This window comes from Homo sapiens, chromosome 12, assembly GCF_000001405.40.
Source record: "Homo sapiens chromosome 12, GRCh38.p14 Primary Assembly".
In the NCBI taxonomy this organism is placed as follows: Eukaryota; Metazoa; Chordata; class Mammalia; order Primates; family Hominidae; genus Homo; species Homo sapiens.
Window position 1 is genome coordinate 99,046,854 of NC_000012.12, and position 25,191 is coordinate 99,072,044.

The 25,191-nt window shown below is 40.0% G+C and overlaps 1 protein-coding gene across 51 annotated transcripts in view, besides 1 other annotated feature; it reads right to left on the reverse strand.

Moving 5' to 3' along the window:
* ANKS1B (ankyrin repeat and sterile alpha motif domain containing 1B) overlaps positions 1-25,191 on the reverse strand; it is a 1,250,151-nt gene that overhangs the window by 312,068 nt on the left and 912,892 nt on the right. For all 51 annotated transcript variants that reach the window (XM_006719514.5, XM_006719507.5, NM_020140.4 and 48 more), the window contains one exon: positions 6,304-6,456. In XM_006719514.5, the coding sequence (XP_006719577.1) occupies positions 6,304-6,456 (153 nt within the window). The remainder of the gene's footprint in view (positions 1-6,303; positions 6,457-25,191) is intronic.
* Positions 679-848: an enhancer, noted in NCBI's record as "experimental_31475 CRE fragment used in MPRA reporter constructs". NCBI's record gives its function as "activates a minimal promoter by MPRAs in K562 erythroleukemia cells, with activity observed for both the introgressed and non-introgressed 12:99441395 variant alleles {active_cell/tissue: K562}" and the evidence as "EXISTENCE:reporter gene assay evidence [ECO:0000049][PMID:34662402]".

Here is a 25,191-nt window from a genome sequence, read left to right on the forward strand (position 1 = left end):
GTGAAGATGAAAACTATAATGTCCGAGATAAAAAATACACTGCATAGTAACAGTGACAGATTAGCTATTCTAAGAAGAAAAGATGAGTGAACTTAAAGACATAGCAATAGAAACAATCCAAATGTGTCACAGAGAGAAAAAAGACTGAAAAAAAATGAATAGGACATTGGTGAACTGTAGTACAACTTTAAATGACCTAATACTGATGTATTTGGGGTTTCCAAATGAGAGGAGAAATAAGGTGAGTAATAGAAAATATTCTGAGGCCAGATATGGTGGCTTACAACTGTAATCCCAGCACTTTGGGAGGCCAAGGCAGGTGGATCACTTGAGGTCAGGAGTTCAAGACCAGCCTGGCCAACATGGTGAAACCCTATCTCCACTAAAAATACAAAAATTAGCCAGATGTGGTGTCGCATGCCTGCAGTCCCAGCTACTTGAGAGGCTGAGGCAGGAGAATCGCTTGAACCTGGGAGGCGGAGGTTGCAGTGAGCTGAGATTGTGCCACTGCACTCCAGCCTGGATGAGAGAATAAGACTCTGTCTCAGAAAAACAAAAAAATTTAAGAGATAATGACTAAAAAATTTCCAAAGTTGATGACAATGATAAGTCTCATATTTAAGAAGCTCAAAAAACTTCGCACATAGAAAACATGCAAAAAATGATACCAATGTGTGTAATAATCAAATTGCTGTAAACCAGTGAAAAAGACAACACCTTCAGTGCAGCCAGGGGGAAAAAAACTGACCCATTATGTATAGAGGAACAACAAAATGGCGGCAGGTTTCTTGTTAGAAATAAAGCAGAAGAGAGGCTGGTGGAGCAATATCTTTAAAGTACTGTTCGTTAGAATTCTATACCCAGCAAAACTATGTTTCATGAATGAAGGCAAAATGAAGTATTTTTCAGACATACAAAAGCTGTGAAAATTTATCACTAGCAGCCTCACACTATAGAATAATGTCAAAGACAGTCCTTCAGGTAGAAGGAAAATGACACCAGATGGAACTAAGGGTCTACATAAAGGAATGAAGAGCTTGGTTGGCTTCAAGGGTGTGTGACCTGTATGGTTACACAAGGTCCTGCAGATAGAAGGGCCTTGTGCTAGCTTTAATGTTTTGATGTTACTGGCTAAAAATTTTTAATAATTTTTGAACAAGGGGCCCTATATTTTCATTTTGCACTGGTAGCTGGTCCTGATGAAGAATACTTAGTAGTCCATAGAGGTGGAGGCAGAGGCTGGAATGCCGAGCTTGGCTCTGAAGATCCAGGCCATATGTTCAGGCATGGAATAGGGAAGAGATGGAGGTGGCTTCTTCAGAGGAAATTTGGAATGTTTTAATTTTAATCACGAGAAGGGTGAATGAACAGATGTCCACTAAAATAAAAATTTTAAGGTAGCAATTTCTGGGTAATTAGAACACAATTTTCCTTTCTGCACAGAGATAGATCATAAATGGCTATAATTAGAGAGTTTCAGTTTTTTCTGAAGTTCATTTGTTGCGGAGTGTTCAAAACTGTCTCTTCAGGCCAAAATGCCTTGTTTATTGTGTGTGTGTTTTACTATTTCTGATATCAATGCTTTAATAATGCCTGTTCTGTAATATTGGCCCAGAGGTACTGCAAGAGTGTAAATTCACTTTACATGAAAAAGAAAAGCTATATTACTTCCAATGACATTTTAGTGATTAAATGCATTTTATTTGTAGTATAATTCTATCCCAGTTTAGGTCAAAGCTCCGAAGTTGAGAGTAGTATAATAAGTGTGGACATGCAAAAGATGCTGAAAGGTAGTAGAAATAATAATGTCAGATCTAGCCCATCACCACCCTCCAGAACATATATGAAAGGATTAGAAATCAATGTTAAGTGTGTATTTATTTGGGAGACTGTCCATCCTAAATGAGGACAAATGTCAGGGTGCTTTTCCCAAAACTTGGGCTGGCTGAGGGAAGCTTCAAGAGAATCCCTGGAACAGCTTGAAATCTGGATGCAGGGGGTGGAGTTGGTAGAGTCCAGAAGCTTTACCTGATATATGCCTGGAAAAGTCTAAAGCTCAGAGGTGGTATCTAGCTGTCCTGAAGGCTTGTGGGGAGCCAGCTGTACTGTATATAGGTATAAATGCAATGCTTAAATCCACAGATAATTTATAAAGTTCACTCTACACTTGAATACTCACATCCAGTCATTTAGTTGAAGCCTTCGGCTTTGATTAAAGTTGTTAATATTTGAAGTGCTGACTGATGTAACCTCCCTGGTATGGAAATATGAATATTTCTCATTTATTATGTCCCGTGGTGAAAGCATAACCTTTTACTTAAAATAATTGGTTTGAAAATGGAATTAGAATATTCATCCTCCCCATTCCTCCCCTGCAATTTGTGAATTTAGTAATTATTCTTCTTGGTTATGAGCATAAGTTACCATTTACCTTTATTCAATATGTACACACGCACACACACACACACACCCACACACTCTCACAGAATGCAAAAAAAAAATTAGGAAATAAAGTTATCGCAACTTTAGCAATGAGAGCGGGGTAGACAGAAGTGTGAGTTTATAATGCTGATCATGAAATAAAAACTTCAAAGCAAGCCTAAATCTGATACTCATAGGATGATAGCTCTACTGCATTTAAAGCAAATAAAGTTACATTTCTCAAGAATTAATGCAAAATTAGAAAGTTTCCTTTGAAAATCTCTTAGCACATCTCCAAGTGGTTAGCTTTCCTGGGAAAGCTGGAAATTAAATCAACAACATTGAAAGAAAAAAAACCTCACAGTCCTAAATTAAACAGTCATGTAAATATAGTTTCCAAAGCTATTAGGCAAGAAGCAAATGATTTTCTAATCAATTTACTGTTGCAAAAATAATGCCAGATTATTTTCATGGGGCATGTGAAATAATTTACATGGGACACACGTGGATATTGCTACCTTAGCAATCTTATCTAGTTCTACCCAAAGGTATTTAAAAAACAACCACTGACGCTGAAGTTATTTGTAATCATATCAGCAGCCTATCTCCTCATCCTCCATTCTCTTCCCCTCCACCAGCTGACTTTTGTATCAAAGGCAGGCTACCCTTGCACTTCTCTTTTCACTTAACATAGAACAACAGTTACTGGAGCAATCTGGTTCCCTTAAAACTAGCGACTCATTACAATGGTTCAGGATGTGAACTTCCCTAAAAGGCTTTGCTCTAAATCAAGGTGACTGTACATTCCCTTTTAGGCTAGAAAACAACAAACTATGCATTCTTAGTATAGGATTATTCAGCCCATATATTATATGAGACTACCTCATATTTGGGTACCTCTCTCATTAGTTGGGATAAACAAGTCTTGAATTTGAGATAATTCAAAATCTTTGTAAGCCAAAGGCATGCACACATTTTGCCTTTTTCTCATTTTAAAACCCAGTAACCCAAAACCATCACATGAACTACCCAATTCTATTGGGCATACAAATTTTGTTTTCTGATTTCCAAGTCTGAAGGTTCAGGTCAATATTTGTCCGTAATTAACATGGACATAATTAATCTGCTGAGTTAAATGACATACAAATCCTCACCACCAAGAGTGTGAACTTGCCCATAAAGTTGTCACACAGAAAATTGAATTCAATCAGCTTACTTTAAGGAAAATATACTGAGTTAGTGGTAGACACAGATGGCATGCTTCAGAGGATTTTGGCCTTAAGGTCTAAGAGACAGTGACTATGTTTTCAAATTTTGACACAATGCTTGTGACAGGCACTTCTCCCTGTATTGAAGCCAGAAAACTGTTAAGAGCCAACATGGGTGGAAAAGACCAGTTTTCTTTTTTTCTTTTTCTTTTTTTTTTTTTTTTTTTGAGACAGAGTCTTGCTCAGTCACCCAGGCTGGAGTGCAGTGGCGCGATCTCTGCTCACTGCAAGCTCTGCCTCCTGGGTTCATGCCATTCTCCTGCCTCAGCCTCCCGAGTAGCTGGGACTACAGGTGCCCGCCACCACGCCCGGCTAATTTTTTTTTTTTTGTATTTTTCATAGAGGCAGGGTTTCACCATGTTAGCCAGGATGGTCTGATCTCCTGATGTTGTGATCCGCCCGCCTCGACCTCCCAAAGTGCTGGGATTACCGGCGTGAACCACCACGCCTGACTAGAAAAGACTAATTTTCTGTCTCAAGTCAAGGCTGATTGGCCTCATGGGTGGTGGTGGATCAGTCCCTAAGCCCCGGCAGTAAAGCCAGGGGCCGTGATCCCCATAGTCACTGCAGCTGTCTACAAGGTCTGGCTGCAGTCACTAAACAAGGATCTCTAGGCCACAGGTACCCCCGGCACTGGGGAAAGTGAGTGCCCAAGCTTACATCTTAAACACTAGTTCAGGCCTTTGGATTTTGAGAGACATAGAGCCTCACATTGTAAGTGATCCTTACTTCAGTGAAAACATATAATAGAGTCCTATTGAAATCCATTCTTTACAATGGGAGATTACTGCTAATGCTAGCTAGGTGAGTGATTCATGTGCTACCTATTGTAAGTATTAATTCTTCATTAGGTAGCAGTGTGATTCAGAAAATGTTACATAGGGATATTTTTCAAGCTATTCCATTAACTAATTAACTGGGATGCAACTTAAGTTGGAAGATTGTTTGGTTGATGTATGGAAGGTACCCCTTTAAAAAATATCTATGAGTAGCCATGTGATGAGTGTCAAGTTCTTGACAGAGAATTGAAATCTTAGCCTGCTGCGACCAAAAAGCAATACTGTTTCAGTTAGTTCCGTTGCCACACAGACTGAATGAAATTAACCAAAGGCTTTATGTTAGACAATGAGTCTCTTCTGAAATAATGATAGCTTTTGTGAGGGCATAAGAAGCAGAAAGTTAAGAAAGAGTTACTTATGGCCATACAATCACATTAATTTGTCTATTTAATGTGACTTTTAGATTCAAGAACAATTTCTATACGATGTTCTAGAAAAGACATTATTTTTTCAGAAAGACTTTTAAAAGCAAGGAATTAATTAGTTACTAATAATAACCATCATTTAAAATAAGCAATGGCATGTAATGTGTAGAACCGGGACTTTTGGCGAGAAAGTGACATAAAGAGTAGAACAGAGCACTTTTGAACCAGCAGAAACTTATTTGCTTTATCTCTTAGTTCATAAATGCCATTTTCCTCAATCATTTACTATAAAACTAAAACTATTCTTTAAAAACCTAAGTGATTTCTCATTGTTACTGTTAAAAAGAAATGTGTGCTATGCCAAATACAATTCAAATGAATGACCATTTTATGTTACATTTTCATCTTATTCCTTCATTTATGCTAGAAAATAACAAAAGTAAAAATGCAATGAGAAAAGTATCAAAGTCATGTATGCAGATTCAGTTGATCTCTTTGGGCTTGACTATTTGGCAACATATGTTGGCCAGTTTTTATAGGAAATCTATGCTAAGTGTATGAATAAAACAGAGACAACGTAAGATTAGACACTAGCTTCAGAAAATAAAATTTTGATAATACAGCAGCCTATTTAGTAAGAATAAAAGCAGTCTCTTGGAGTGTGGGATTTGTATATGTGATTAAGAAATAGAGACAAGGGGCCGGGCGCGGTGGCTCACGCCTGTAATCCCAGCACTTTGGGAGGCCGAGGCGGGTGGATCATGAGGTCAGGAGATCGAGACCATCCTGGCTAACAAGGTGAAACCCCGTCTCTACTAAAAAATACAAAAAATTAGCCGGGCGCGGTGGCGGGCGCCTGTAGTCCCAGCTACTCGGGAGGCTGAGGCAGGAGAATGGCGTGAACCCGGGAAGCGGAGCTTGCAGTGAGCCGAGATTGCGCCACTGCAGTCCGCAGTCCGACCTGGGCGACAGAGCGAGACTCCGTCTCAAAAAAAAAAAAAAAAAAAAAAAAGAAATAGAGACAAGGAAACATGATAGAGATAGAAAACTAAAAAAATGATAATTTAAATCTTTAACAGTGAATATGAGCAAAGATCAGAATAGGAACCTATTTATTATCATATCTATATCCTATAACTGAAAAAATTTCCTAAAAAGGAGAACACAAAAATGCTTGGAAGATTTTCTTGGATAATGCAAAATACCCTGGGAGTTCTCTCTTTACCTCTTAGTTCCCCCACATTTAAACTTCAAAAGACAATGACTCTGGAGCTTGAGAGAGATCGATATTTAAAACAGAAGGCATATCTATAAATCCCCATTGGATGTCCAAACACTTATAAAAAAAGAAAATTAAATTTCATTTATCAAGGGTTGAATAGTTAAGGTGTCACTAAGAGACCAACTTACATTAATAAGTTCAACCTCCCAGATTTTTTTCAACAGGTCCATCGAAGTGTAGCCATTAATTAGAAAGGCTTTGGTGTAGTCGCCCAGTTCAATGGAATCCAGCCACTCAGCTACAGAGGTGGGATGGTAGCCATCATGCCCAATGGGTCTCATCTGTAATAAAGAAAATTACATTAGGATTAAACTGTATACTTTGTGTCCCAACAACAGAATGCAGATTTCCCCTTGAAAATTTATTTGACATGAAGAACAGATCTTTCTGGAGACGGAAACAAGGAAAAAGAAAACACTTTCTGATGTGTTTTCACAATTCTAAAACATTAATAATTTTCACGCTGAATAGGTTTTCAAAATATACACAGAAATTTCCAATTTAGCTGCTAGATTAACTCTATATTTGGAAGAGCTAAACATGTCAAACTTCTGTCATAGACATTATTGGCATTCTGGTGGGTGGAATTAAAAATGATGTCAGTTGAATGGCATTAAATTCGATGCGAAAGTCACCAGGAAGTGCACTTTCAACATGTAGATGATAATTCTCATATGCACAGCACCAAAGCATGTGAAAATACTGCATGACTTAAGCATTCAAAGGGAATTTGTGCTTATGCAAGACATGTATTGGAGGTAGTGCAAACACGCTGGAGAAACATACTGCTGCGGTGAACCAGTAAAGGAGAGGCCTTTGGGTATTTTAAGACCATGTGTTCTGCATCGACTCTACAGTATGTTAGACATGAATAGAGAACTTGCTGGCAGACAGGCATCTATTTTTTGTCAGCTATATACAGATTTTTAAAAAATAGGAGAACAAAGAAATGTGACAGCAACATAATGTTTCTGAGTTTAAATTGGAGTGTGAAAGTAATTTAAGCAAGAGGAACTTCTGGGTTTAAAATTTTGTATGGATTATTCTGGTCCTTTAGCTTTTATTTGAAATTGTAGCTGAATCTGTGGTTCTTGGTTTTCGAAGTGACTCACTTCTAAAACTTGGGCTGCTTTGCATGCCACGCCGTATATCTAATACTTCAGTTTTTCAGGAGAGCTGGCACCTCATCAACCTGATGGGGGCCTTCGGTAAAATTCACGATGGAAACAGCAAGGCTGGGCAAAACACAACATAGATTTTCCTCTTTCTTTGATTCAAAGAGATAAATATTAATGGAAATTTATATGATTCTGATTTGCGAGCAGAGAAAAGATTAGTCTGGGAATCAGGGATTCAGATTTTAATCTTAAACATGGTAAGCTTTCTATCACTATGCATGGTTCTCATTTTTGAGATTCTCCCTACTCCTTCATTTTAAAGTTACTTTTTCTCTTTTCCAGTTGTTCCGCTCCCCATTCTAGTTTCCATTTCAAAGTTTAAATGTTCTCTGTTTTATTTTATTTTTTTTGAAATGGAGTCTTGCTCTATTGCCCAGGCTGGAGTGCAGTGGTGTGATCTCAGCTCACTGCAACCTCCACCTCCTGGGTTCAAGCAATTCTCATTCCTCAGCCTCCCGAGTAGCTGGAACTACAGGTGAGTGTCACCAAGCCTGGCTAATTTTTGTATGTGTCTCTACTAAGAGACAGAGTTTCACCATGTTGGCCAGGCTGGTCTCAAACTCCTGACCTCAAGTGATTCACCTGCCTTGGCTTCCTCCCAAAGTGCTGGGATTACAGGCATGAGCCACTGCTCCTGGCCTAAATGTTCTCTATTTTAAAGTTAGAGTACAATTTATTATTTACATTAGAGTCTGAACTTGGTCAGACTTTTGTACTTCACTTTTACATTGACTGACCCATTTTAGCTACTCATTAAATATTTGTTCATGTAACACTTAACTCTGTGTTTATTATGTGGTAGCTACAAATGTAAATGACAACTCAGCATTTGCAGAATGAAAGTCAGTGGCATTCACAAATCCCTGGATGTTATGTATGTATAAGATCAGAGGCTAGGACCCAAAAGGGAGGCTCATAGATATTCGGTAGCTTCATATTCTATAGAGAATTACAAAAATATTGGGGCTGGGTACATTCTCCAGGCCTCGTTAAAAGGTGGTTGAACTAACTCTGTTAACCTAAATAATCACTCTGGCCCCAGGAATCTTCCTGACTGCCCCAGTGACATGAAATAAGAAAGAAAGGGAAGAAAGTGAGAAACACTAAGGTTGAAGTTAACTGCTTAGTAGGGAGGTCTTGCCGTTGGCCCATCCATAAAGCTGACCACTCCAGCAGCAGATACTCGGGAAAAGCTTAGGGAGTCTTGATGACTGGATTTGGGTCAAAGTCAGTTGTCTCATACCAGTGAACTGTGCAATGGGGTTACCACAGGTTACCCCCAAGCACTTACACAACACTCTTTTGAGGAAGCAATTAGTGGCCATCTGACACACAGAGGGTGTTGATGGTCGGTGGTGGCCAAAGAATCAGGGAACCCATGACAGGACTGCAAAGAAAATCTAGGTAAGTACAAAGATGTTTGCTTGTCCCTCCAATCCCCCTTTCTTGTCCCAATGCCAGAAAATTTAGAATCAGAAGAGAGAAGTGCCAGTCCCTTAGGGGAAGTCTAAACTTGGGGGGGGGGGAGGTGGTGAGGAAAATAAAACTGGAGGTTTCAAATAAATTGGAACTGAGCCTTCAACATTTTACATGGTTGGAAAGTTATTGGAAATGTCTGAGATGATATTTATAAATAGTAAAGGGAGGGTCAGTTGAGCTTGGTTGAATGATTGGAAAATAAAAAAATAAAATAAAACAGCAACCATCATATCAGGATTGCACGGAATGCAGGCTGTTCAGTGGTCTGATTACTCCTGTAAGGCAAGTTCTCCTAGACCAATCTTAAAGAGGTGAGAGGGAGGGAAATATTTGGTGGGAGGATGAAAGACAAGGGCAGGGTAGAGAGCACAACTGAAGAGACCTTGGAAATGGGTATGCTGAGGTGTACAGGGCAGTATCATCCGCCCACTCATTCAATAAATATTTAATCAATGCCTATTCTGATGAATGTTGTGGAAATGGTAGAGAACAAAACAGTCATAGTCTCTCCCTCATGGAGATTATAACTCTTAATTAAAATATGCAAACAGATGACCAATAAATTATGAAGGTTCTGCATACCTGAAGAGAGGAAACCATTAGAGCCAAATGCAGTTACAAAATTAACTTGACACATATTTAATGATATGCAGAATAGTTACTGTGCTGCACAATAATTTCTTCCAAAGCAATGATCCCATCTGTTCCTTTATTTCTGTCCCTACTGCCATTACCCTGTTTAGGTTCTTGTTAGTGCTTACAAAAACTAACACAATAGCCTTCTACATGGTCTCCCACCTTTGATCCAGCTTGTATCTTGCTACTACATTAGTCTTCCTAAAAGTCAGACCCTTAAGTGTACCTTTGTATAAAAGCCTGTAGTGGCTCCTTCTCGAAAAAAGTCCAAATGTCCTATTCCAGCATTCAAGGCCGATTGAGATTAGCCTAATCTCCCACTCCTCTGCTATTGTGTACCCAATAAATGTAACTAGACACGTGTATGTCTAAACAGTACATTAAATCGCTAGGCATTCCCTGAAAATGACCTGTATATGACACAGTCAATATCTTTGCTAATATAACTTCCCATGCTTGGAATGCTTTTGCCCCTGCTTCTGGAGTGATTTCTTCAGGACTGGCTTCTCTTCTTGAGCTCTGAGATGCAAATTTCTAACCATTTGTAGGACATCTCACATAAATGTCCTATAGGTGTCACCAACATAAGTCAAAAACAAATTTAACTCCTTTAGTTCAAAAACAGGCTCTCTTCCTCTTTTTTTCCATTTCAGTTAAGGGCAACTATTACTCCACTGCCCAAGCAGAAGCTTGGGAGTTATCTTACTTTCCTCTTTCTGTTTACTATCATATCTAATTAGGCCAACATGGTCTATCAATTTGATTTCTAAGATGACTCTCAATTCATTTCTCTTCTTCCAAAATGGACTTTGGAATATGACATTCCCAGCAGTGCTACGTATTTGTTGGGTGATCTTTGGCAAGTTACTCTTTCAGCCTGTTTCCTCTTTTTTAGAATAAGCATAATAATACCTATTCCAAGTGTTGTTGTAAAGATTATATGAAATAGGGAATAAAAATTGCCTAGCACAGTGATTTGAATATAATAGCTATTCAATTATAACTCTTAGTTCTCTTTTCTCCCCATTGCCCTAAATTAGACCCATGCTTATTTTGAAATTGCATAATATTCTGCCATTGGCTGCTAGTCTTTTCAGCTTCCAATCAAAGCTCTCCTCTCTCATCCCTTCCTATTTCCTCTATTTCCTTCCTTCTTTATCTTGTTTTAGAAATGGTTTGCATCTGCTAACATCTTTACCCCTCTCCCCTTCAGCCGACAGTTATTTTTTAGAAACATATCTAACGAGGTCACTCAAGTCGATTGAACTGTTTATTCCAATTCTTCGTTCTCTTACTGTATTAGAATTATGCCCCTGTGCCCTTTGCCAAGGGATCAACATTATGTCTCAGTGTGGCTGGAGTTACTTCCCAGTCTCATCAATGCTGGCCAATAGAATGCGTGAAGTGTCAGTGTGGTGGTTAGAGACGAGGTCTCTGTGCTCCTGTGTTCTACTAATCTTTCAGTGTTCATATGCTCTCTCATAAGAATAGCAAGTGCTGAGAAGTTGCATAACTCCTGGTTCTAGGAGAAAGATGAAGACTCGTGGAGCAAACCTAAATTTAACCCAAAGCTTGGAATCTACCCTAGCTCGATGGGGCTCAGGAAAGTCCAGATGAAGTTAGCTGAAGCACAGCAGACCCGTGAGTAAGAAAAAAATATTTTTTGTTGTTGTTGCTGTGAACTACTGAAATTTTGATTACAGGGAAAAACTGAATAGTCACTCCTTGTTTAAAAACCCTTGGTGTTTATCCATTATGCCTGTGGAATATAAATCAGACCTTTTAGTTTATGAATCTATTGGCAAATGCATCTTCATGAGACTGAGAAAGATTAGGGATGCTGAATAAGCAAACATCAGTATCCTTCCCAAGCTACCTCACTGTCATGCAGAAACTCTGCATGCCACATCTTTTTTTTTTTTTTTTTTTTTTAAGACAGAGTCTCACTCTGTCACCCGGGCACCCAGGCTGGAATGCAGTGGTGCAATCTTGGCTCACTGCAGCCTCCGCCTCCTAGGTTCAAGCAATCCTCCCACCTCGGCTTCCCTAGTAGCTGGGACCACAGGTGTGCACCACTACACCCGGCTAATTTTCTTTTGTATTTTTAGTTGAGACCAGGGTTTCACCGTGTTGCCCAGGCTGGTCTCAAACTCCTGAGCTCAAGCGATCTGCCTGCCTCAACCTCCCAAAGTGTTGGGATTACAGGCACAAGCCACTGCCCCTGCCCTATATGCTGCCTCTTTATTAACCCTAAACTAAGTAATTCTTTATTGTATGAGTTTGATTTTTGGGGCATAATCCACTGTACATGTAATATACCTCCACATCTTCGCTCATGCCATTCCCTCTGCTAGGAATACAGTTTCTACTTTTTCTCCTAATGAAATTCTATCTATCCTTTTTTTTTTTTTTTTTTTTTTTTTTTTTTTTTTTTGAGACGGAGTCTCGCTCTGTCGCCCAGGCTGGAGTGCAGTGGCGCGATCTCGGCTCACTGCAAGCTCCGCCTCCCAGGTTCACGCCATTCTCCTGCCTCAGCCTCCCGAGTAGCTGGGACTACAGGCGCCCGCTACCACGCCCGGCTAATTTTTTGTATTTTTAGTAGAGACGGGGTTTCACCGTGTTAGCCAGGATGGTCTCGATCTCCTGACCTCGTGATCCGCCCGCCTCGGCCTCCCAAAGTGCTGGGATTACAGGCGTGAGCCACCGCGCCCGGCCAATTCTATCTATCCTTAAAAGGTCCTGTTTAAACGTTACCTCCTGTGTGAATCTTTCTCTAATGTTACCATTATTCCACCGAAAAATCATATCTTCTGCTATATTTCTGTAGTATTTTCCATAGAGTTCTATTATAGTATTATTAAAGTCTGCTTTCAATAATAGAGAAGTGAGTATCTGTCTTCTTCATTGGACTGCCTACCCCTTGGTGAAGAAATGAGGTGTTAATCATTTTTGAAGTCCCTAAATCGTCCAGCAGAGCATCTCACATATGGCAAGCATATGCTAAATGTTTGTTAAATTAAGTGACTTAATGAATACATGAAGACAAAATGACAAATTCATTTCAGTGGCTTGGTATCCATTTGTGGGAGAGATTTGTATTTTGTACTCCATGTTATGAAAACTAAGGTTATCTTTTTCTGCCTAACAATAACATTCATAACTATTTAAAACCTCCATATATCAAGAACCAGTTCCAGATAGGATATTGTGTTACAGAATGCAATGGACTTTGTTTCCATAGCACAGAAGACTTGATTCTATTAGCCATGTAGCCATGGGCAAGTCACTTCATCTCTCTAAGCTTCAGTGGTGTCAGCTATAAAATGAAGGTATTGGACCAAGGATCTCAAAGCTGCTTTGTAATTCCTAAATTTTGCAATTCCATGACTCGTAAATTAATTTTAAATTAGTAACCTATTTGTTTACCCAGGAAAGAAAAAATAAGCCCAAAGACAAAACTAAAATTCATATATATATATATATATGATAGGACGTGTAGACTAAAGGTCAGATGGCATTCACATTTCTTTCATGTATCTTCAGCAGTACCCACAGGGAGCACTGTGACTGCATTCTCAAATTAGCAATGATGAAACTTTTTTTCCAGCGGGAACATCTGGCAAGACAGGGCTAGGAAGTGACAGCTCCATCGGCCTGCCAGGCCAGCAGTGCTGCTAAGCATGAACGGAAGTCAGGCTCACTCTATAATCTGAGAGGCAGAGTGGTGAGCAGGCAGCAGGCATTCATTACAGAGGCTCGCAACAAGGCAATTTGATTCAATTAGTTGAATTCCAAAGTCTGGAAAAACCTAAGCTGAGACAGAAATTCGAGATAGCAGTGAAGCTTTAGTCTTGGGAAAATTGAGATATATTAACATATTTTTTTTTTGCCAAATGCCTTCCTTGTTCTTGTTCCACCCAAATGACTTTCCTCCAGGAGTTTTTTAGAGCATACTTGGCCTCAGAGAGAGTATGCTGTTAACATCACAGGTGGTACAGCAGGCAGAGAAACCACAGGACAGTACTCTGTGGAGTTCTGGGTTTGAGGGGGTCAGCTACGGGGCAGCTGAACAACCCATGCTCTGAGACTGCTTGATCGACTTCAACCAGAGTAACTCTTATTTTATGCGTTTTATACAAGTAAGAGGAAGAAAGGTTTTCTCGGCTTTAAAAAGAAATGTTTGAAAACCACGAATCTAGAAGACTTTTGTAAGATTACATGACCACTATGATTTTATTTTCTCTTAACTTTTTAGCTTTATTTGAAATATTATGGATCTGTTATATATATGTGGTTATATATATATATACACACATATACATATATACACATCACACACACACACACACACACACACACACACACACACACACACACACATATATATAGAGAGAGAGAGCCTGTCATTCCATCATTCTTTCTCTTTGCCTGAAGCCAGCATTTTCTGTGCAGATAAGGATAATATCTTATGAGATGACGGAGCCACAGGATGGAAGGTATAGCAGGAGGAAGGCAATAAAAACAGGTAAAAAAAATAAAAAGAGAGAGAAAGGTGATATACATTATAATAGCTTTGGGATTAAATGAGAAAAGTAGTTCTTGATGGGACAACTTATTAACCTAGAATTATGATATTGGCATGGTATTTAGAACAAGAGGATAAGGAACCCTGAAAAGCCAATAATGGATTAGACAGGCATTTTTATGTCCAAAAGTGTTAGAAAATTGAGAAAAAGACTACTTGTTGTTCCCTTAAACTTGTCCTCTCTTCTTCCACATAATGGGGTTAAATTGGGTTCATGCCTGCCGGACTAGAGACAAGATACATCAGCTTTTTTTCTGGTTGCTGCTGTGAAAATATGGTTGAGCCTGTGGAATGCTAATGAAAGTGTTGCATGTAACTTTCAGGTCACCTCTAGCTAAAAGAAGTTCCTCGACCTAGAATTCCTCTTTTTTCTTCATCTTCCTATAAGCTGGAACATCAGTGACTGCAGTTCAGCTTTGACTACACAGGCAAAACAATACCCTGGAGTCTGGGAAATGCTTCTCAGACCTCAACGTGCTTAGGAATCATGCAGAGAATCTTATTAGCAGACGATTCTAATTCCGTTATTTGGAGGGAGGATTGGAGATTCTGCATTTCTAACCAGCTTCCTGGTGATGCTAATGCTGTCAGCCCATGAACCACACTTTGAGTAGTAGTGCTTTGGAGGATGACAGAACAACAAATAGAAGGTCCTCGGTCCTTCCACAATTGCATAGAGCAAAGCCACCTTGTAAACCTGCACTGCTCATTTCAAGACTATTATATGAGAGAAATTAATATTCGATTCTTTAAACCACTATATTATGAATGTCTCTATTTCAGTATCATAGCCTTTCCTTGAATACAAACATAACTAAAAATAAGGCAGTTTCATGTAGAACATTTAAATGAAGCCTGTACTTCCATTTGACATTACATTGTATTATCTCTTGTTTTGTGGGGCCGTAAGTTTTCACATCTGTTATCGTTAAAGAAGCTTCATTTCCTTTAACTGTGTTTGTTGGCATTTCTCTGTCAATCACAGCATCATCCCTTTGTAACAACTATGCAAGGGATAAGAGGAGAAAAATGCAGGGAAACCCCAAGTTTCTAGCTTGGATATCTGGGCAAATGGTGGTGTTACCAGGTAAAAGAGAAAAGAAAATAGACTGGGATGACATGAATAATTTTGAGACATGAGAAATTTAAGATGCTATGCTGTGGAATGGCACTTTAAATTTGGAGAAGTCTGGGGAGACACGCGGCCTTGGGCATCATCAAAGTACAGGTAAGAGTGTTGGCAACTCCACTTATTAGCTATCTGACCTCGAGCAAATCACTCATACTTCCTAAGCATCCATTTTCTGATTAGTAATGTGAAAGATTAAAAGAATATCTATCGCTGAGCGTTGCCATATGTATTCAATGAAACTACACAAGGAGAATTTAGCACAATACTTGGCACACAGAAGCACTCAATAAATCTTTGTTATTTTTTTTCTGACAGCTGAAATCATGCACAGGTAGGACTGCAGAGGTGACTTTGTAGTGTGAGAAGAGAAGTGGCCTGAGAATGAACCAACACTTTCAATGCATAAGGAACAGATAAAAATAATACTCAGGAGACCAAAGAAGGAATGGTCAGGACAAGAAAAGAAATGGGGGAAATAAGAGTGTCAAGGAGAGTGTGGTCAGCAGTGAGGGGATGCTGCAGAGACGTCTAATAAAATGATGAAGGAGAAGGGTTTGTGGGATCACAAATAGGTCATCGGAAATAGGTCACCAGACACCTTATTGAGAAGAGCACAGAAGCTGAGCTGCCCTAGGTTGGGGAGTTTGTATGGGAAGAAAAGGGGGAGATGAGATTTTAGAAAGCACAGAGGAAAACACATGGAAAGGGGTAAAGAAATGAGGACTCAGGGTTGAGAAGGGTCAGAGTCATAAAACAGTTAAGTTCCAGGGTGCAGTGGAGATTGCAGGGGAGGGCTTGCCTTTTGCTTTGACACTTTGCCCTCCTTTCTTGAAATTACGGATCTGACAAGGATGGTTGGAGCTAACTTCAGGGTGAATACTCTGTGTTAAAACAGTGCGAGTGTTTGGAAGCTACATGGTTTAGACTTGGTGAGAGCTGGATGCTTGTACGTGAAGTACCTGTGACCTTCTGGTGAAGGTCCTCACGTGGGCAAGAGCTGTCGCCTGTGTTGTCTTCACTCCTCAGATACAAACACAGCAACCTATCATTTACATAGACCCACCAGTGCCGATATCCCTGATGTGCCAGGCTCAGCTACTTAAACTTGCCTAGGAAGCTGCCGTGGACCGTGGCTTCTCTTTTCCCACCTGGATGTACTTTGTACACTCAGATTTCCTGCCTGATATGGCTTTTGTAATACAGATAGCTGATATCGTCAGGTACTTCCCTCTATTCTGGCTCCTTGTTCTAGACTCTTCTGCTCTGTCCTGCTGCTACCCAAGTCTTGGACTAACAGCAGTCCTGAAAATAAACGAGGACAAGCAGTGCTAGCAGACAGTGTGCTGCCAAGTCCAAATGCAGGTCTATCAAGTAGTGTGAGGATCAAATCTACAGGCTGTGAGACCTGGGCTTAGACATCACTGTGCTGTTTCATCAGTGGCTCTTAAAAGGCTGATTGAACATAAAAGAGAAAGGCTGATCTTCTGACCACGAGGCCCCAGAAAAAAGTCTACCTATCACCATCTGAGTGCTATCTACGGCAGTGCAACTTTGCTGGGAGGGACGTCTCCAAAATGCTGAGCACTGTTAATGATAAGAACATCACTTAACAATGATGTGGGACTTTAAAGAGCCTCAAGTGATTTCACGCATGTCACCTCAGTTGTAAAGTGTTTTAGGTGATCTTTAGGAAGACACCCTTTAAGGAGTCTGAGAGCCTGAGTATCCCATATAATTATATTCCTTCTGTGGGAATGGAAAGGATTAATATACTGTGACTGTTGTTGGAAAGCAAGGAGTGATAAACTCTCTGTGTTGTGCATCTGTAGCAAGGGAGGTATACATGTACAAATACGTCTGCTACTTGCAGCTCCTTTGTTTACAATTAGACTCTGTTATGGATACAATTTCTATAAAAGAATAAAGAGAAACATAAACCCTCAGAAGTAAGAAAACTGTGTCTGATGTCACTACGAACTCACAGCTACAGAAAGTGGTAACCCCTCTATTATTTTTCCCACCACTGACTGAGCCTTACTGATTTGGGGTTCCTTGAGTGTTCAGATATTGAAGACTCCCAGCTGTAGGCATAAGGCAGAAGCAGTGAAGAAGTAGTATCTGGATATTACTTGATACTACATTTTTGGGAAATAAAGGGAAAGGAAAGTGCTTTGGACTAGACACTGTCTCTCAATGTTCTAGGTTTTCTATTTCGTGAAAAAGAGAAATGAATTAAGGTCTATTCCAGAGAGGGCCTGAGGTATCCCTAATTTTGAAAAGTCTTAGATCATGGAGTAAAATAGAAGTGAAGCAATGGACAGCAATGAAGGACTAGATTTAAAAATGTTTTCAAGACACATAGGGGATCAGCTTCCAACAGCACAGAATAGCCTAGAAGCACTAGACTGGCCCTGTCTCTAGTCATCAGGGATAGGGGCACGCCCTCTGGACAAAGGCACTGGGAAGACTACAAGTTAAAGGAGTTAAGTTGCCAATGCAGCCAAGTTCTATAAAGCATCCTTGGGAAAAAAGGTCAACCGCTACAGCAACAACTACAAAACAATCTGTCTTATTTCAAGCCGTGTGTGAGAGCTACTAGTCAGGCACTGCTCTTTTTAGCTTCATCTGTGCCCAGGGAGATTAACTCTATCTGTAGCAGCACTTGAGAAATGCTATCTGCCATGTAGGATCTGTGTGGGATGCAGATGAAAAGACCAGTAGAGCCCTAACACAGTAGACATATAACATGGTCCTTGGGGTTGAATTATTTTATTGAATGGTTTTGTTGTACCTCTCCCTGAAGCTTTGCGTAAAAGAGGTGTTTTTAAAAATTTAATAAGAGGAAATGTTTTTACCATCTTTTCATTTCTAAAATTCTTGTTGAGGTAATGTTGACCCTAGAGCCTTTTGTTAAACATCGTTATTTGTTTTGATATGTTTCCTTGTTGCAAAGCTTTTTTTATGAAGCAAGAGTTCAGATTAAAGATGAACAGAGGATTTACTGCAACTAGAATAAGGCGCTGAACAATGTTCACTAGCATTCACATTTCCAAGCTCTACTAGTGATGTGAACTATATTTAGAAAAAAGACACGGGGTCTCTTTTTTTCTCTGACAGTACATGTTTTCTGTCATTCATGCAGCTATTTGGTGGTTATATAGTACACTGCTTTGCTCTTCAAACAGAAACTTTAAATGCTACTATTAATCAGGAATATCATTTGCATACTTTTAGTCTCAACTAAAATAATTTCCCCAAACTTGAGTCTTCAGAAGATAATGAATGCCCTGAATGTCAATTCTATTTATTTGATATTTAAAAACCATGTCCTTTCTCAGAGCCTCCAGGCACATGCATAATAACATAATCCACAGAAGTACTTCAAGCAGATAAATGTACCACACAACCAGAATTAGCAGTACACAAATGAATGACTTATGTTCTACCTGGGTAGAGCAGTACAAAATATGTCATTCACATGGTGGTCAAACAGGAGTATACTCACGTTCACTTAGGGAGTTACAAAAATGAGGACCTACCATCCATTCCATTCATCCATCCATCCATCCATCCATCCATCCATCCATCCATCCATCCATCCCATCCATCCATCCATCCATCCATCCATCCATCCATCCATCCATCCAACCATCCATCCGTCCACCCACTTATTTACTCAACAAATACTAACAGTATGTTTGCTATATTCTAAGCACTGTTCTGGATGTGTCAGTGAACAAAACATATGAAGGTGCCAGTCCTTGTGGGGTTTACCTTCTAAGTGGGGAAGACAGATAATAATTAATAAGCATAATAAATAAAGTATATAGTCTGTTAGAAGGTGATAAGTGCTGTGAAAAAAGAGAAAGTGCAGTGGGGGGATCGGAAGTACTGGAGTGTGTGTATGGTGTGGCAGGTGCAGTATTAAATAGCGTGGTTAGGGGAAGTTTCATTCAGAGGAGAAGATTTGGACAAAGATTTAAAGACAGTGGATTGGCTGGGCACAGTGACTCATGTCTGTAATCCCAGAACTTTGGGAGGCCGAGGAGGGCAGATTGCCTGAGCTCAGGAGTTCGAGACTAGCCTGAACAACATGGTGAAACTCTATCGCTACTAAAATACAAAAACCCAGCCAGGCATGGTGGTATGTGCCTGTAATCCCAGCTACTCAGGAGGTTAGGTTGAGGCGCGAGAATTGCTTGAACCCAGGAGGCAGAGGATGCAGTGTGTTGAGATTGTGCCACTGCACTCCAGCCTGGGTGACAAAGCAAAACTCTGTCTCAAAAAATAAAAAAGTAAAAAATAAAGACGGTGGATTGGCTGTGTTGAGGGTGAAGATTTCAAGTAGAGAGAACAACTAGAGCAAAGGCCCTCAGGAAGGAGGGTCCAGCATATGTTCAAGAAATAACAAGGAGACCAATGGGGTTGGAGCAGTGTGTGTGCACAGAGAAGAGAGGGAACCAGGGGCCAGATAAGTGAGGGCTTATAAGACCTGGCAAGGATTGCCTTTCAATCTGAGGGAAATGGGGAGTCAGGGTATGCATTTGAGCAGAGTTGTGACATGATCTGGCTTACATTTCAGCAGAATCACTTTGACTGCTGTGTTGAGTAAAGCTAATAGGTCTTTTCAGAGGCTGTGGAAGTAATTCAGAAGGAAGGGGCTAGTGGCTTGGATAAGGTACTAAAGTAAAGGCAGCAAGAAGTAGTTAGATTCTGGGTATCTTGACGGTAGACCAGCATAATTTCCTGAAACACAAAATAAAATCATCCTTGTTCTCTAACATGGATCAGGAATCTGTCAGTTTGGTGGTTGCAGCTGTGTGTCATGGGTCTCAGCTTGAAGAGGACTGTATTCGTTCATCGTGTGTGGGAACATATGGGTGACTGGCAGGGACAGGCTTGCAGCAGTCTGTGCTCAGTGAGGATTCCAGGGGCCTGGAAAGACTCTGCTCAGAGATTCAAGGAATAATAGATGAGTATCAGAGAGAATGGGTGATTCTGAATGATTTTAAAATCTGGCACTCTGACTGTGCCCTGGCCAGTCTCCCATGGACCATCCCTTAAGATGAAGAGGTTTCAATTAAATAGCTGTATCATGAAACATTTTTGGACATTGAGAACAAAAGGAGTAGGCAGAATTAGCACCAGCAACTTTGTCAGCAAGAAGAGATGGTGCCATATTGCAGATATTGGTGCCCTCAACATTGGGCACCAGCAGTTGGCAATGATGGCCACTTTGGCAGGCTTCAGTGGCATTGGCAGAACATTCAGTTGGCATTGGCTAAGGTGCCCTTGATGGGAAGACACTGGGTATCATAGCCAGAGACACAGACATCAGTACCTTTGACACATTGGGCACCTGCAGCTCTGAAGCAGCCCTTGGCATTCATTAGTGGCAGATTTGGCACCTTCAGTGAGTATGAAGAGGACTGAGAGCACTTTTGGTAGGTCCTGGTGGCACTGTCTCAAGCTGTGGTGACAGAAGACATCACCACAATAGGCTAGAGCAAGAGAGGCAGAAAAGGGCAGATGTCTCATGGTCAGCGGTAGTCTAGTTAACAGTGCACATGTGACAGGAGACACTTTGAATGAATCATTAGAAGGAATTTCAGTAAGGCCTAGAATATGCAGAGAAGTGTTGCTCTATGATTGTTGCTGTTATCCTATTTTGAAGCCCTGGTTGGAGTTCCTGAAAACCCCTTTTATATTTATAGTTAAGGGATAATCTAAGAACTATTCCACTACCATTGGAGTGAGAACAGCAGTCACAACAAAAAATAGCTTGATCTTTAGGAAAATGTTTCCAGCCTCATAGTCTGTTGTATGTGCGTGTGTGTGCATGTGTGTGTGTGTGTGTGTATGTGTGTGTATGTGTGTTTGTCAGTCTAGAATTTCTAATTATCTCAGACAATGGAGTGACTAAGAATCTTCAGCTCTATTTATGGGAATCCCCAGTAGAGTCACTCTTACAATAGTTTTAGTAGTTATTATTTATTTAATTCAATAAGAATTTTTAGGCACTATAGTGCATCATATGTATAACATCATTCTAGATATTGTATATCTAGGACAATATATATATAACATCATCCTAGATATTATATAAATGCAAAAGGGAATAAAGTTCCTACCTTCCAGGAATATGTAATTTCCTTGGGTATACATTTGAAATACATGCAAATAAAGTTCTGTGTCACTTAACAACAGGGATACATCAGAATGTGTCCTTAGGTGATTTTGTCATTGTGCGAACATCAGACAGTGTACTTACGCAAACCTAGATGGTATCACCTGCTAACCATCTAAGCTATTGCTCCTAGTCTATAAACTTGTCCAGCATGTTACTGTACTGAAAACTGTAGGCAACTTAACATAAATTACTAGGTGATGGAAATTTTTCAGCTCTATTATAATCTTATGGGACCTCTTATATATGTGGTTCATCACTGACCCAAATGTTGTTATATGGCACATGACTGTATACAAAGATAAGTGCCAGTTTTTATAAGTTCTAGAAAAAAATGCTAGAGTGGATTGGAAACATTTGGGTGAATTTCTTTTATAGTTTCTCTTGGGGTTAATATATGGTGAAGTAAGTGATTGTATGTGTGCTTGTGTGTACATGTTTGTCAGAGAGAGGGATGCAGGTGGGAGGGGTGGGGGGCAGAGAGAGAGAGAGAGAGAGACAGAGAGAGAGAAAGGGAGGGTGAATATGGACATCCATTTCTCTTTATTGTCCCTAGTCCTAGTCCTAGTCCTAGCAGGCACAGGCAGCATCCTCTGTCTGAAGTGACTCCTTCAATGTCCTAGTTGGCTAAAAACACCTGTTCATTCTTTGAGATTCAGTTCAAGCACCATCCACCTGCCCAAAAAGCTTTCCCTGATCCCCATGCATTTAGCTCTTCTCTCCTCTTGTAGCATTTTCCACATAGTATTCTAGTTTTTGACATATCTATCTCTGTCTAAAATGCAGGCAGAACTCCTTGAGGCAGGGACCAAGTCTTCTCCATGTTTCCATTCCCATCTCTGGACTTAGCATAGAGCTGAAATGAATAGACAGTCTGATTGAATGGATGGACAATGAGCAATTTGCTAATGAATGTCTGTGCATGGCCGTGTGGGTGTTTGCAGACGTTATGCCTCTGGAGTTGCTCTAGCTTCCTTTCATCTACCTCTGAGCCTGCTGGGTCTCGGGACACAAGGTAATTGTTACTTTATGTCTACATCACGTGGCACTCAGAAAAGTGATCTGGCTGAAGTGCATGATAATGTAATTGAGTCCCAGAGGTGACAGGCAGGGAAATTGATCTCTCTATATTTACTGAAATAATCTCTTGTACATCTGTGGGGAAAATTTCACATTCAAAACTTTCTTATGATACATTTACCTCTTAGTATTTAGAAAATTGTAAATACAATCCTTTGCCACCAAGCAGTAGCTTCCAAGTAAAGAAGGGGTTGAGGGTTAAAACTAATATAATGCATTGAAGAAAAAGCTTTTAACCTGTCAGGACTCTGTGATTCATAAATTATAACCTTAGAAATCATTTAAAGTGTATCCATTTAGCACTTATACCTTCATGAATTCATGGAACAACAAGTAAAGCTAAAATGTATTTCCTCTTGAAGACATGAAAGAGGAATCTTGCAGTTTCTTGGGTACTCGTTTCCTTTGATAAGGGCAGTAGTTATCTATTAACTGAATGTCTATTTACTAAAATACAAAGCAATAGACTTGTGTGAAATAGTAAAAATGGCCAGTCATTTTTTCCCCAAGATGAGTAAATTGATGGGTGATTCCACAGAGTACAGAGACGGGGCACTCCAGTAATAGGAAGTAGAGGAAAGCAGTTAAGGGCATAGACTCTGGAGCCAGCCTGGCCAGTTTCAATCCTGACTCTGACACTTACTAGTGGTGTGACCTCAGGCAAGTTACTTAACTTCTTTGAGCTTTAATTTCTTCACCTGCAAAATAGGGATTTAATTTTGAGATTTAAATGTGTTAATTTAGAGTTAATCTGAAGTACTTAGAATAGTGCCTGGCACGTAGGCAATTTTCTATTTAAGTGATTGCTATTAACATAGGGGTTTGGCCCAGAATGTCTTTCTGGCATGCTGAGGAACATCTTGGGGAACGTGTATTCTTTAGATAGAGTTCACTATGGATCCACAGAAGACCAACCATCAGGCTAGAACCCAAAGCCAAAGGATAGGTGGAAGGACTACTGGTTTGAAGTAGAAAATCTCATTGATTACCGCCCCTCCTCATCCCCCACAAAAATAACCACAAAGAAATACCACGTAATGAAACAGTGCTTAGCTTAGGGAAGGAAGAATAGTAACTATGTCACTTGTTTAGCCTGCTTCATTAAGCTCACTATAGGTATTTGTTTGGGTTTGAAATATTTGACTCATTATAGCTTGAAGGACAAAGTGATGAATGAAATTTATAGCTGGATTGATGGCACTAGCTGTATTTCAGCTGTAATAACCAGAGGATGGTTATTACGAATGAGAAAAAATAGCATCTCTATCTGCCTGTTAGCTAAACATATGCTTTGGATCACTTTTTGCTTGGAGTGTCATGAGTTATCACAAACTTCCACAACAAAGAAGTTTTCTTTTTTAACTTTGATCTATGTATTATTTGTTTTTTTAGAGACAGGGTCTCATTCTGCTGTCCAGACTGGAGTGCAGTGGTGGGATCATAGCTCTCTGCTCTCTAACTGCTGAGCTTAAGCAAAGCTCCTGAGTAGCTAGGAGTATAGGTGTGTACCACCATGCCTGGCTAATTTTTTAATTTTTTTGGAGAGACAGGGTCTCACTATGTTGCCCAGCCTTGTCTTGAAGTCCTTCCCTCACGCGATCCTCCTGCCTTGGCCTCCCAAAGTGCTAGGATTACAGGCATAAGCCAACACGCCCAGCCACAACAGGTAAGTTTTAAAGGTACATAGGAATGGCTTTTTGATTCATCTGTCTCCTTCTCCAGGAACCTACTCCTGATTCCCTGAACAGAAGAGACCTTCCCTTTTACTTAACGTACAAAACTTGTTATTTTTACTCCTATTATAGCTTGTTTCATGTTCTGACTTGTACTATATTAAGATCATTTGCATATTGGTCTGACTTCCTTTGCTAGACTAAAATCTTCTTGAAGGCAGATACTGTGTAATTTCATCTTATTTTTCTCCTTGCACTGTGTCTTGGGACATAAGTAAATGCTCAATTCATTTGCAGACATAACTTGAACAGAAATATCTCACTTGAATGCCATTGATGGAAAATAAGAAATATAGCCAAATTCTATTCAACAATTAAGTTAGCACTTATTTCAATTGTATGGTAAAGGCAGGTGACAATGCCTTATTCAAAATGGCGAATATGCTGTTTTACAGTTTTCGTGTAAATGCACACAGTTCTGCTTTTCTGTGAAATCACAATGCCTTTAGCAACTAAATGGAACTACACTGTCAAGATCTGACTGCTCAGCTTCTCAGTTCACTTCCATTCCATTCTATGCTATGTATATTTATATTGAGTCCTTGCTTCTAAGAGATGCAGACAGGAAGATCTCTCTGTATTAGGCTTATTCATTTAATCTCTCTCTTTTTTTTTTTTTTGTTTTTTGAGATGGAGTCTCACTCTGTTGCCCAGGCTGGAGTGCAGTGGCGGGATCTTGGCTCACTGCAAGCTCCACCTCCCGGGTTCAAGTGATTCTCCCGCCTCAGGCACCCAAGTAGCTGAAACTAAGGTGCGCGCCACCATGCCAGGCTACTTTTGCTATTTTTAGTAGAGACGGGGTTTCAACATATTGGCCAGGGTGGTCTTGAACTCCTGACCTCGTGATCTGCCTGCCTCGGCCTCCCAAAGTGCTGGGATTACAGGTATGAGCCACCGTGCTCTGCCCATTTAATCTCTTAAATAGGGAGGCATGAGTTATGACTTTAAACACCTTCTCTTCTAGCTTCTGATGGACTAAACAATAATCTTTAAATACATTTCAAAA